The sequence below is a fragment of the Homo sapiens genome, chromosome X, assembly GCF_000001405.40.
Source record: "Homo sapiens chromosome X, GRCh38.p14 Primary Assembly".
Taxonomy (NCBI): domain Eukaryota; kingdom Metazoa; phylum Chordata; class Mammalia; order Primates; family Hominidae; genus Homo; species Homo sapiens.
The window spans coordinates 70,282,137-70,295,292 of NC_000023.11; the positions used below are offsets into that span (position 1 = coordinate 70,282,137).

Below are 13,156 nucleotides of genomic sequence, written 5' to 3' on the forward strand. Positions count from 1 at the left end.
GACGTCAGTAGAGCATGGCGTGAAGTCCGGCGGCTCAGGCTGAGCGTTGGAAGCCATTTTGGCTGCAACCTACCTGAAGCGATGTCTGCCTTTGGTCACGACGAGGCCTGGATGGAGGCCGGAGGCTTTGGTCTGGAGGCTGCCGAAAGAACGGAATACCAGTCTCTGTGCAAATCTAAACTCTTATTCCTGGGAGAGCAGAGCGGTGTGGGTCTGGGTTGGGCTTTGGGGACATGGAGGTGTAATTGGTATGAAATGGGGTGGGGCATTCTCTGGGGAACCGAGTTCCTCCTCGTTGGGAAAGATTGGAGTTGGAGGAGGAGGGAGGGCTCATAGAAACTTTGAGGGGAGAAAGGGCACTGAGGGCGACGATTGGCCTGCTTATCTCCCTCACAGTAGGGAAGACATCCATCATCAGCCGCTTCATGTACAACAGCTTCGGCTGCGCCTGCCAGGTAAGACCACCACCGAGTCATATGGTACATTTTTGCCACTCTTCTTGGCGGACTCACCTGGAGATTCTCCTCCTCAAAGTTATGTATTGTAAGCATTGGGAAGTGGAGCCAGGACAACTTCTTGAAGGGTCATTCTCCACTTTGGGTTCTAAGACTGCCTCATATTGGGAATAGAGGGAATGCTGGAGTGTATCTGATTTTCTTTTGCAGGCAACTGTTGGAATTGACTTCTTGTCTAAGACCATGTACTTGGAGGACCAAATAGTGAGTGTTAACTCTCATACCACTAACCCTACACTTCAACCCCTTAGGCCTATTCATCACAGTTGGGTAGCACCATCAAAAAAAACTGAAGCCTCTTCAAATTACCAAGCCCTATGATGTTTCTTGTTCTGTCTGCCTTCATCTAATCTCCAACTGTAACATAAAGTCCAAGAGACCTTGAATCCTTAAATCTGCTGTGCTGTAGGGTCTTCCTGAATCAAAACAGTATATTGAAATTGGTTGGACCTGTCCTAGGACTATAGGCCATTTGGTCTGAGGCTATAGCAGCCACTTCTCAGGGATCCAGTCTACCTGACCTTTTGTATTCTGCCTTTATTAGGTTTGAGCTTTTTAAAAAGGCTAGTTTCTTGTCTACCTTTCCCCCATCTTCTTCCTAAACATTTTTATGCAGGTTCAGCTGCAGCTATGGGACACAGCTGGCCAGGAGCGCTTTCACAGCCTAATTCCTAGCTACATTCGTGATTCAACTATTGCAGTGGTTGTCTATGACATTACAAGTGGGTGTTATGCAATGTTTTATTTGAAAAGGGGATTATAAAGGGATTGATAGGGAGATTGACAAAATTAGCAGAGAGGAAGTGTTCTCTCCAAATCTCTCCTAAATGTTTCAACGCTCTGGAACATATTCTCTTGCAGACATCAATTCTTTTAAGGAGACAGATAAGTGGGTAGAACACGTGCGAGCAGAAAGAGGTGACGATGTTGTCATCATGTTGTTGGGTAACAAGATTGATTTGGATAACAAAAGGTAAAGTATAACTACAACTTCTTCTGGCATACCTAAAATTCAGTCTCTATGGGGAGGGTCAACTGTCCTCTATTTACTTGGGGAGGAGTTACCTTAGTCCCCTCTGCCCCCTACCAGCACTGCAGGATGGGAAGGACAGGGGGGCGTCCCATCAGGGCACAAGGATATGTTGGGGGTATAGGAGAGAGTCCCCACCCTGTAGTCAGAAGGGTCATGGGTTTAAGGCTTCTAGGGTTCCTGGCCCTAGGTAAGCATCATTACACCTCAGAAGAGTCTATCCATATCCAATAACTCTGGCCCTTTTCATCATTTCTGATTCGTCCAGACAAGTCACTGCAGAACAGGGTGAAGAAAAATCCAGAAACCTCAATGTGATGTTTATTGAGACCAGTGCCAAAACCGGTTACAACGTGAAAAAGGTAATACTTGTTTCTTTCTATGATACTTTAATTGTGCTCTGTCTGTAGCTACTACTACTGTTTACTCTTTTGGATAAGCTTGGCTTATCTTTTGTGGGATAGGGGTCAAGGTTCATCTCCCCATCATGTATCTCAAAGGCCCTGAATTATCCTAGCCTCTGAACCTGACCTTTTTTTTTTCCCCTTTTTTTTTTTTTGGTCCCCATTCACACACACACACAGCTGTTCCGGCGTGTGGCTTCTGCCCTTCTTTCCACAAGGACTTCACCTCCACCAAAAGAGGGGAGTATCCTTTTTCCTAGCTTTGCTGGGGTAGGGAGTATACAAGTAGAGAAGGTAAGTTTCCTTGCTGAGTTGATGCCTGAGTGGTACCTAAGGGGAAAATGGGACTAACTTTAGCCCAAAGTAGTTCCTTCGTTTGCCTTTAGGTGAGAGGGATTGTAAGATCAGAATTCCTCTTCTACATCTCCTAGAAGCTGACCTTGGGTGTTAAGATTTGACTCCAGTCACCTCACTGTATTAGCTTCCTTGACACACACTTCAGCGGTTGAAATCGAACTGGAATCCTTCGAGGAGTCAGGCAACAGAAGCTATTGTTGACAGCTTAGGCTTTCTCTGCCTCATTTGATGGATTTCTTACATTTGGGCTTGCCATACCAGTTCTCCTCCCCACCTCGTTTTATGATACATGGCCACTTACTCTCTTCCAATTCCTAGGCTTGGGGTAAAAACAGAACCCCTGAAAGTGCTATCATTTTTTCCTGACCGCATCTCACAGCTACTGGGTGGAAGCTTCTTGCAGCACCTGGGAATTCTACCTTACCTTCTCCGACAGCTAAAAGACATCTGTAGAGAATACAGTTCTACAGCAGCTGACATACTTCAAAGGCCAATACAATTCATTCTCCACTGTTTGTTGTTGTTTACCTACACCCTCAATAAATGGTTCTTTAACCTAAGGCTGTTATTGCTTGTGCTTTCTCCACACTATACCTATATTTCCACAATGCAATTATCTCATGTTGGTGCCCTAACATAGAACCAATCCAAGTATTTCAAACAAGAACCAATTTAAGGCAGGAGGGTTTTTGCCTCTTAGGCCCATGGCACCTGGCTGGGACTTTTTACCATGTTTTTCATACTTCTTAGATACAATGTTTTAAGACCTGTTAACCACAGGAAGAGTCTTGGACCTCAACATTCAGCCAAGTCACCCAACATGCCTTTATGGAAGTAACCAAGCTACTATTTTCTTTCTTTCGTGGCCAATGCGGGGCATGGGGTCAGCAAATAGGAGGATAGAACAGGATTTCCCAGGAAGCATAGGGACAGCTACATTAATTCTACCTCCAGCTCTGCTCTCAAGGGATGTTGCCACCTAACAATAGCAGTGAGGCTCTAGAAGAGGTATGTCAGTAGAGCTAGGGTGGGATATATAGGAAGAACCAGACCTTCCTCATACAGTATAGTACTACTATTTAGAACAATGTTTCCTACATTTGAAGACTTATTTACTTATTTCCTTTGCTTCTTTAAAAATCCAGATTTCCAGATTCCACCTCAGACTAACAGAATCATTGTCCAGTAGAAGGGCCTATAAATACATATTTAAGCTCCCCAGGATTCTTTCAAGGCAAATTTTGGGACTTCATCATAGGGGTACATCACCCCACACCACACTAGAAAACTCTTTTTTTTCTTTGAGACAGTCTCACTCTGTCACCCAGCCTGGAGTGCAGCGGCGCCATCTTGGCTTACTGCAACCTCCACCTCCAGGGTTCAAATGATCCTCCTGCCTCAGCCTCCCGAGTAGCTGGGACTACAGGTAGTGTCCCACCACACCTGTCTCATTTTTGTATTTTTAGTAGAGATGGGGTTGCACCTTTTTGGCCAGGCTGCTCTCGAACTCCTGGCCTCAAGCTATCCATCTGCCTTGGCCTCCCAAAGTGGTGAGATTACAGGCATGAGCCACCGCGCCCAGCCTCACACTAGAAAACTTTCAATTCCAAATGGGTATTTTAAACATGCCAGTGGCGATGGCATAGGCATGACTAGGAATCTTGTAATGGTGGATTGGTAACTAAAGATCTAGGAACATGGCAGAATGTTATTTGGGGCTGGGGTGAAGAAAAGGGAGAAGTCAGCAGTTAGCACTACTCAACTTACAAGTTGGAAACTGTGAACCAATTTCTTACTGCTGCCTCAGAAAAGAAATGCATCTAAGCCCCTTCCTTAGTTTATGTTCCAGATCAAAGAATGTGGGAAAGGAGAAGAGAGAATTATATTACTACTGTCCCCTGCAGAGAAATGCTCAAAGCTCCTAGGGGAACGGGCAGTTTCTTTCAGTGCCCCTCACTCTATGCCATTTCTTAGTTATACTGTGGTTAAAGTTCCTTGGCCTTGCTAATGTTCTGGTCAGACATCACAGGTAGTTGCGAGGAAGGTATAGTATTGCTCTGTTCCTTCCAGTGGCTCCTCTCTTTGGAAGAGCTTTTTCTTCCCTCGATAGCATTTTACATCCAATCGGTAACATTCAAAAGTCACACCAATATTTCTTCAGCATTGTGTTTTACTTTTTGGGAGAGAGGCTAGGAGGAGGAAGGGGTGAAAACAGCGTCTCACTGGAGTCTCAAAAGTGTATGAATCTTCTGGTAGTGCAAGGATGGGATAAGATGGCCAGGGAAGTCAGATGGAAAATCCCCAAGATTCTTTTTGCTACTGATTTCTATAATTAAAATATGACATATGTAAGGGACTAGTGCATGATATTCAATAAATGTCAGTTGTCTTTCCTAACTAGGTTCCTCACAGGCTAGGTTATGCCTAGATATCATCATCCTCCTTTCAGGGAATGAAGCTCACCTAGAAAACTAGGGAACTAAAAGTGCAATATGGTTTGGGTAATGCAGTTGGTTAGCTGTCTCCCCATCCTCCCAACTCACTATTCCAGGGAGGGGCTGAAAACAGAAGTGGCTCCCCTGAAGTCTAGTTAGCATGTCATGACAGAGTCCACATGAAGGGCTGTGGGCTGCAACTTTCTAGTGCACAGTCCTCTCTTTTTGGCGATGATAATCTGAAGGAAAGAAGAAGAAAAGGAGGAACAGAGCAGGTTATCTTCACGCTTGAGCTCCTGATTCCCTATCCCCAACTTGTAGGGCCTCTAGTCATCAGTATTTAAAGAGTTCTTACTTAGGGCCCTGTCAGGAAAGTGAAAAAAGAAAGTGGCACTTACTGTAGGGAAAGAAGCGCACACGCATGCTGATTTCACGAGCTGTCTTCAGGATCTCAACAGCCTGGAAGGAACACAGCAGCTTGTACAAATGAAGAGATATGACCCAAGACAGAATCATAATAGGGGGAAAGGGATTTGCCACTCCAACCTGTGTGTCACTAATAGCTGCTTCCCTCCTGTACTTTCCCAGGAGAGGTGCTTACTTTCTCTCTCTCTTTTTGTTTGTTTGTTTGTTTGTTTTGAGACAGGGTCTTGCTGCGTTGCCTGGGCTGGTCTTAAATTCCTGGGCTCAAGTGATCCTCCCGCCTCAGCCTCCTAAGTAGCTGGGATTACAGGCGTGTACCACAGTGCCCAGCAAAATGCTTTCTTATTAAGTTACAGATTAGGCTACTCCTGTCCAATCTGTCCTATTTGAGATGGCTTCTTGCAGCACCACAGCCCAAGTACTGTGCTCACCTTGCTGTGCTCAATATCTTGGAAATCCACATCATTCACAGCTAGAACTTGGTCCCCTTCCTGCAGTCCTGCTCTATGTGCATCAGAGTCAGGAATCACCTGTTGGTAAAGAGAGAATACATGTGATTGGGATGCGATAATTTCAGAAGACTGTCAGTGAAATTCGGTGCTATTCAAATGTATGGTGCTATTGTTTTTCTGTGACAATGTATGCAGACAGATGGCCTGCCAAATGAAAAGTTTTAAGTGGGAAAGGGGGTGTCTCCATTATACCCCTTCTATGAATCCAGAGTCATCCTCTCAGCCCTTGGGACATTAGGGTTCTGCAATCTGTTAATTTAACAAAGGGAAGTAACGATCCATATTGCCTACTGGGCATAAATACCTTGGAGATGAAGATGCCTAGCTGGGAGGCCTTTCCTCCTCGGATGTTAAATCCCAACTGTAAGACAAGAGCACAGAATGGGGGCTCAATGGAGACCACAAACACAAGAACAACTAGTAGCATCATCGTACAATAGCTCAGCTTGTGTGTCCCTGAGAGGAAAGTCAGAAGTTGCAGAAGTGTTATCTCAGCTTTTCTGTCCACAAGAAGGAAAGTTTCCTCACATCTGCACCTGCTTTCCAATCCATCCCCCCAACACTGCCAATTTGTGGTATGGATGAATCTAGCCTGAAATAAGGTTTCATAAGTTCACCTGAGCTCCAGGAGGCTTCTTCAGTGTGATGGTTCGGGGCAGAAACTGGGTCAACTCATTGTTGTAGTCCGGGTGGTGTACCCTCTGCAAGACACAGCAACCCCAGAAATTTTACCAGTCTTACTTCACACCTACCTTCATCTGAAACACTAATGAATTACCCTGAAGTCAGGAAAAGGAAAGGTCATAGACTTAATTTAAGTAGAACAGATAACACAGACTAAATGAGTAGATGGATAGCACTGGGGCAGCCCAGTAGCTCCCCATTTCTTCACCTTTTTTTTTTTTTTTTGAGATGGAGTTTTGCTCTTGTTGCCCAGGCTGGAGTGCAATGGCTCAATCTCAGCTCACCGCAACCTCTGCCTCCCAGGTTCAAGCAATTCTCCCGCCTCAGCCTCCCTAGTAGCTGGGATTACAGGCATGTGCCACCACGCCCGGCTAATTTTGTATTTTTAGTAGAGACGCGGTTTCTCCATGTTGGTCAGGCTGGTCTCGAACTCCCAACCTCAGGTGATCCGCCTGTTTCGGCCTCCCAAAGTGCTGGGATTACAGGCATGAGCCACCGCGCTGAACCTCTTAACAGTATGGAAATGAAGGCTCCAAATTTCCAGAATTAACCGGTGTGAACAGACCCTAGCAGGAGGCTTCCATAAAGAAGTTCCCAATGGGTCCTGTTGCTCAGAATCCAGCTTCTGGGTCCTCTGGCTACAAGTGCTAAGATTCACTCTCCGTTTCGCCTTCTAACCCTGCTATCCTACCTTTCATGCATCATCTCATGCCCACGGGGAAAAAAATCTCCTACTCAGGAATACAGATGGTTCCCACCTCATGAGGAGGAATCCATGCTGGAGGATTCTCATAGGCAGGCAAGAAAACCACCGGGTAGTCATCATAAGGAATCCGGCTGTCCATCTCGGGCAAGGCCCTGGAAGAGTGAATCAGAACAGACAAAAAGTGGTTCAAAAGGGAGAGCAGCCCAGCAAGTTTCAGACAGCAGCTCCAACCCATTCCAAGGCAGTCAGTCTACAGGCCCAGCCCATATCTAGGTGTTAAGGTTGGAGGAGAGAAGGAAGACAGAAGAAAACTCTTAACTTAGCTAAACATCTTCTGGATGCCAAGCAACCTGTCAGGTACTCTAGAAAGAGGACCTCATTTTTCACAATCCTGCAAAACAGATGTTACCGTCTCAAACCTGGAGAAGAGGAAATCAGGGTCGAGTCTAAAAAGATCTACTTTCGAAGCCCAAGGGAGTGTTAACTATCCGCAGGGACTCGGGGCAAGGCACCGCCCCACATTTCCTAGATGTGATTAGTAATGGTAGGGTCCTTAGATCGACCCTTCCTTCACCTGACCAGCCACCTCCCACGTCCCCGCCCCACATTCTGCCTGAGACCCGCACTCTCAGCCGCATAAACGCCGCACCACCTCACCAGTGGGCAGTCCACAGCGACCTCAGACTCCGCTCACTGACAATTCAGTCTGGGAACCGGAAGCGGATGCTCCGCAGGGTCGAAAAGAGGCCGGGCCAGGGTGCAACGAGCTGACCCTCCCCTTCCCACCGCGCCGGCCTGCGCGCGCCGACGTGCGCGCTCCGCCCTCGGGCAGTCCGCACTGCAATTGGTTGGCGTCTCCGGGACGGATTTGAAACTTGGCGGTTAAAGCTCCGGCTGGGACAGGGCGGCGGGAGGCCCAGGGAGAACGGGGAAGGGACATTTAGTTTGGTGAGTTACGGGGGCACACCTTAGCTCAGAACCTGTTTTTACCCAGTACCCTAGGGCTTTGGTTCTTTGTCGCCGTCCCCGTTGGAGTTTTTTCTTTGCCTTTCAGAAGCCCGTGCACTCTCTTTAGAGTGCAGGGCTGACGGGCGGTCCAGCCCTGGCCAAGTCATGGAGCGTGAATCTCCCAAGTCAGTGTTCCCGCTGAGGAGGGTCGGAACCGGGGAGGACGCCCTCCCACCCCTGCTGACCTACTAACATTCATCAGCGAGCCTTCTTTTTCCCCCTCGCAGAGACGGTGCTGAGATAGGATCATGAAGGAAGAGGTGAAGGGAATTCCCGTAAGAGTGGCGCTGCGTTGTCGCCCTCTGGTCCCCAAAGAGATTAGCGAGGGCTGCCAGATGTGCCTTTCCTTCGTGCCCGGAGAGCCTCAGGTGCGTAGCAGAGTCCAGAGCCTGTGTCTGAACAGCTGGGGCCAAATGGTAACGAGGGGTGTGGTCTTGCCTTTCATTTTTAACCTTACGCCTTGTCCCGTGCCTTCTCTAGGTGGTGGTTGGTACAGATAAATCCTTCACCTACGATTTTGTATTTGATCCCTCTACTGAACAGGAAGAAGTCTTCAATACAGCAGTAGCGCCACTCATAAAAGGTGTATTTAAAGGTAAGGCGATTTGATTCCTCGAACGTAACATATATATTCCTTGAGCATATACTATGTGCCAAGCACTGTGCTTGGGCACTGCAAATACAGGAATCGATGAATCATGATTCCTGCCTTCAAGAAGCCCTTAGCCTAATAACATTTGTCAACGTCTCTGTACCCTTGAAGCTAGTTTTATTCTGTATTTGCTTTATGTGGTTCTGTTCATCTTTGACTTGTATATGTTTGTTTATCCTGGAACTTCATTAGATTATAAACTCTGTGGTGGTTGCTGATGGTGATAAGTGTGCCAACCTACTTGAGGCCCAGGCACTGCAAAGCTTGTTGAGGGATTCAGGTGATAAATAATATAGCTTCGAGGCCCTGAAGGAGTTCAAAGTCCAGGGGATAGGAATGGAGATAGATGACTACATAAATAATTTTGAATATATAAAAATTTTTAAATTTTTTGTACCTATCTTTTAGAAGAAAAATTTTTCAAGTTAAAAATATACAACAGAGTCAGTCCTATGGAAGTAGTAGCTCTGCTCTCATACAAAGTGGTATGAAAAACAAAAGGATGGCTCTAACTCTGCTTGGGGAATTTGGGGTGAATTTCACAGAGTGGGAAAACTTTGAGATGGGTCTTGAATAATGAGTATACTTCTTTTAGGTGGAGAAGGGGAGTGCCTAAAGCCTCTGAATACTATCACCAGTTAATAATCTTTACTGGGGAAGCTAAGTCTTTAATGCTGTTGAGGACCATAGCAGGGTTCTAAAGAAGGGAGCAGTGCCTGAGAGATGTCTAATTATTATTCTAATACAGTGGTTATTCAAGATTCAAAACAGAGGTTCGTTTAAAAGAAGTAGAATCATGGCATGCTAGTGCCTTAAAGTTGAAAGAGACATTTGTATATCATCTAGTTTGTTTTTCATCCAAAGAAAAATGCGTTCTAACAATATCTGTTAGGTGAACTGCCAGTGTCTAAAATTTTTTTGACAGGGAACTCACTGACTCACAGGTAGTCCAGTTGAGATTTGGGTTTTGGACAAGTCTAATTATGTTATAAAGATCTTTATAATGAGATGAAATTTGCTTCCTGGTAATTTCTACCCAGTGATGTTAGTTCATTCCTTTAGAAGCCTTCTTCTAGGCAACAGCTATTCACATATTTTTTCACGTTTTTTTGTTTAATGATATGGCTCAAGGAACACTGAAATTTTTGTTTCAAAATTTTAAGATATTAATGCAATAATTTCAAACGTATAGAATGTTGCAAGAACAGCATAAAAAACATTTTTTCCCTGAACCATTTGAGATGAATCATTGGCCTGATAACCCCCCATACTTTAGTGTATATTTCCTACAAAAAAGGACTTTCTTCTAAGTTACCACAATACAACCATCAAAACAATAAAATTTGCACTGCTACATTACTACCATCTATTCCTGAAACCCCATTCAAGTTTCACCAATTGTCCCAGTAAATATTTTATGGCAAAAAGATCTAGTTCAAAATCACGTTTTATTTAGTTTTGCTGTCTCTTTAGTCTCCATTCTAAAACAGTTCTTTAGTCTTTTTTTGACTTTTATGAGTTTGACACTTTGAAGATTACAGGCCAGTTATTTTGTAAACCTTTTCTCAATATTGTTTTGTCTGGCATTTACTTATGATTAGATTCAGGTTGTGTATCTTTTAGCAGGAATATCACAGAAGTGGTGCTGTTTTCTTCTCACTGAAGCCTATTGGGCAGCACATGATTTTGATTTATTCTATTACTACTGATGTTCATTTTGATCATTTGATTAAGGTGTTAATCTGCTGGGCTTCTCCACTATAATCTTTTTCCTTTTTACATACAGTATTTGGAAAACCGTTAAGTGTTTCTACCTAATTCTCTTCAATTATCCCCGCCTTTCCTTTAGCCATTCCTGAAACAATATGCTTTTCAGACCCTGCACTATCTGGTCAGATTCCTCAGGCTATACCTCCACAGCTTAGTAAGAGCACCACAGTTCTACTTTTACATTCTTAACTTGGGAAACTGATAGAATTAAATTATGTTCTTTAAAGGCAACATAAAGTAGAAAGTGATTCCAATATACATGTGTTTGCTTAACATTACCCTTGGTTGCAAAAACAAAGTCAATATTTTTTATAGTCAGCTCAACAGCACCCTCTTGTACTCTGAACTCCTGGTACCACAGAGCCCTAAGTATTTTGTAAAAACTACTAAAACCTCATTTCCCAAGTTATTGCTATCTGCACATATCTGTGGTATTGCAGAAAATTATGGAATGTTATTCTCTTGCCCCATAGTCATGCCAGCTGATACCAGCGGTCTATTACAGTGAAAATCTCAATTTAGCATCTTCTTATGATCCTTCATTTAGACCAACAAGTTTTTTCAAAACTTCAAAGTTTTCATTTAGATTAAAACGTTGTTTCAAAGTTTAAAGGGTTTTTTCCTTCAGACTGCAAAATTATCTTGGTAAATAGCAGATAACAGCTTTGACATAAATATGATGATCATTTAACAGAGAAAGCTTGCTTTGTGTTCCTTGACAACATGTCTGCCACACTAATAAGGAACAGACTTCCCTAAGGTCATTATTTTTTTCACCTTGAAGTAAATTTGCATTTGTAGTTCCTTTTAGGTGCCATGCTTATAGTTTTAGAAGCTACTACTGTACAATTAAGTAGCAAGTTATAATTATGCATCAGTTAACGACAGGGATACCTTCTGAGAAGTGCATTATTAGGCGGTTTTGTCATTGTATGAACATGGTGGAGTGCATGTATACAAACCTAGATAGTATAGCCTCCTATACACCTGAGCCTACTGCTCCTAGGCTACAAACCTGCAAAGCATGTTACTGTACTGAATACTGTAGGCGGTTGTAACATCATGGAAAATATTTGTGATCTAAGTATAGAAAAGGTGAGGTAAAAATACAGTATGAAAGGTAAAAACTGATACACCCGTATAGGGCAATTACCGTGAATGGAGCTTGCAGGACTGGAAGTTGCTCTGAGTGAGTCAGTGATGAGTGGTGAGTGAATGTAAGGGCCTAAAACATTATTGTATACTACTGTAGACTTTATAAACACTGGATACTTAGCTTACACTAAATTTATTAAACTTTGTGTCTTTCTTCAATCATAAATTAACCTTCGCTTATTATACGTTTTTTACTTTATAAACTTTAATTTTTTAAATCTTTTTGACTTTTTTGTAATAATACTTAGCTTAAAACACAAATACATTGCACAGCGGAATAAACATTTTCACTCTGCATCTTTATTCTGTAAGCTTTTTTCTTTTTAAAAAAATATATTTTTTTACTTTTTAAACTTTTTGTTAAAAACTAAGACACAAACATACACATTAGCCTAGGCCCACCCAGGGCCAGGATCTTCAATATCACTGTCTTCCACCTCCACGTCTTGTCCTACTGGAAAGTCTTCAGGGACAATAACATCCATAGAGCTGTCATCTCCTATGACAACAATACTTTCTTCTGGAATACCTCCTGAAGGACCTGCCTGAGGCTGTTTTACAGTTAACTTTATTTATCATAAGTAGAAGGAGTATACTCTTAAAAATGATAAAAAGTATGGTATAGTATACTAAACACATAAACTAGTAACAATCATTTATTATTATGAAGCGTTACATACTGTACATAGTTGGATGTGCTGTACTTTTATATGACTAGCAGTGAAGTAGGTTTCTTTACCCCAGCATCAACACAAACATGTAACATGTTGCACTGCAATATTATAATGGCTAAGTCAATAAGCAACAGGAATTTTTCACCATCGTGTATACATTCCACATGATTGAAATGCTATTATATGGCACACGACTGTAACAATTGAAGTTAAAGTAAGAATAACCTGTCTATTGTCTAATTGTTTCTTTATAAAATCTTGCTACAGTTGTTTATCTTCCTCTAGCTTCAATCCAAACTTTGAATTTACGGGATAAAACGAAAATGCCCGCTGGGCATGGTCGCTCAAGCCTGTAATCTCAGCACTTTGGGAGGCTGAGGTGGGCAGATCATTTGATGTCAGGAGTTCGAAACCAGCCTGGCCAATATGGCGAAACTCGTCTCTACCAAAAAATACAAAAAAATTAGCTGGGCATAGTGGCGCGTGCCTGTAGTCCTAGCTACCCTGGAGGCTCAGGTGGGAGGATCGCTTGGGCCTGGGAGGCGAAGCCGTGATAGCACACACTGTGCTGCAGCCTGGGTGACAGAGTGAGACCTTGTCTCAAAAAACCGGGGAGGGGGAGTGCTGAGTAACTAGTAATCTGGATTATCTGACAAGAGAAAATATAAAAACTAATCTACAAAATAAACATTTTTACCAGAACTAAGCCCAAACAGAAATATACTTTTTTTTGAAACCGAATCTCCCTCAGTGGCCCAGGCTGAAGTGCAGTGGTGCGATCTCGGTTCACTGTAACCTCCGCCTCCTGGGTTCAAGCAATTCTCCTGCCTC

General features: G+C 43.5%; 3 protein-coding genes across 11 annotated transcripts in view, besides 1 other annotated feature; 2 read left to right on the top strand and 1 right to left on the bottom strand.

Annotated features, from left to right (window-relative positions):
- Nucleotides 36-2,866, top strand: RAB41 (RAB41, member RAS oncogene family). 3 transcript variants are annotated; one of them, NM_001363807.1, is made up of 8 exons: nucleotides 36-205; nucleotides 397-455; nucleotides 666-719; nucleotides 1,132-1,237; nucleotides 1,377-1,488; nucleotides 1,814-1,907; nucleotides 2,130-2,193; nucleotides 2,452-2,866. In NM_001363807.1, exons 1-8 carry the CDS (start codon nucleotides 82-84, stop codon nucleotides 2,505-2,507), a joined length of 669 nt encoding a protein of 222 aa, NP_001350736.1. In that variant the 5' UTR covers nucleotides 36-81; the 3' UTR covers nucleotides 2,508-2,866. The 3 variants fall into 3 exon arrangements, with proteins under 3 accessions (NP_001350736.1, NP_001027898.2, XP_011529250.1); NM_001032726.3 differs by having other exon boundaries at nucleotides 400-455; XM_011530948.4 differs by having other exon boundaries at nucleotides 2,130-2,866.
- Nucleotides 4,459-7,791, bottom strand: PDZD11 (PDZ domain containing 11). 7 transcript variants are annotated; one of them, NM_001370174.1, is made up of 8 exons: nucleotides 7,724-7,791; nucleotides 7,386-7,457; nucleotides 7,119-7,218; nucleotides 6,294-6,377; nucleotides 5,981-6,037; nucleotides 5,596-5,694; nucleotides 5,140-5,200; nucleotides 4,459-4,980 (listed from the first exon to the last, which is right to left on the bottom strand). In NM_001370174.1, exons 3-8 carry the CDS (start codon nucleotides 7,203-7,205, stop codon nucleotides 4,946-4,948), a joined length of 423 nt encoding a protein of 140 aa, NP_001357103.1. In that variant the 5' UTR covers nucleotides 7,206-7,218; nucleotides 7,386-7,457; nucleotides 7,724-7,791; the 3' UTR covers nucleotides 4,459-4,945. The 7 variants fall into 7 exon arrangements, with proteins under 7 accessions (NP_001357103.1, NP_001357104.1, NP_001357106.1 ...); NM_001370175.1 differs by having other exon boundaries at nucleotides 7,386-7,485; NM_001370177.1 differs by having other exon boundaries at nucleotides 7,386-7,485; nucleotides 7,693-7,724.
- Nucleotides 7,769-7,948: a silencer, noted in NCBI's record as "silent region_20889". NCBI's record gives its function as "represses an Ori minimal core promoter by ATAC-STARR-seq in GM12878 lymphoblastoid cells {active_cell/tissue: GM12878}" and the evidence as "EXISTENCE:reporter gene assay evidence [ECO:0000049][PMID:35858748]".
- The window catches only part of KIF4A (kinesin family member 4A), a 130,783-nt gene continuing 125,594 nt past the window's right edge, over nucleotides 7,968-13,156 (top strand). Inside the window, exons 1-3 of the mRNA NM_012310.5 lie at nucleotides 7,968-8,014; nucleotides 8,302-8,442; nucleotides 8,555-8,669. Coding sequence (NP_036442.3) covers nucleotides 8,323-8,442; nucleotides 8,555-8,669 — 235 coding nt within the window. The 5' untranslated portion in view covers nucleotides 7,968-8,014; nucleotides 8,302-8,322. The remainder of the gene's footprint in view (nucleotides 8,015-8,301; nucleotides 8,443-8,554; nucleotides 8,670-13,156) is intronic.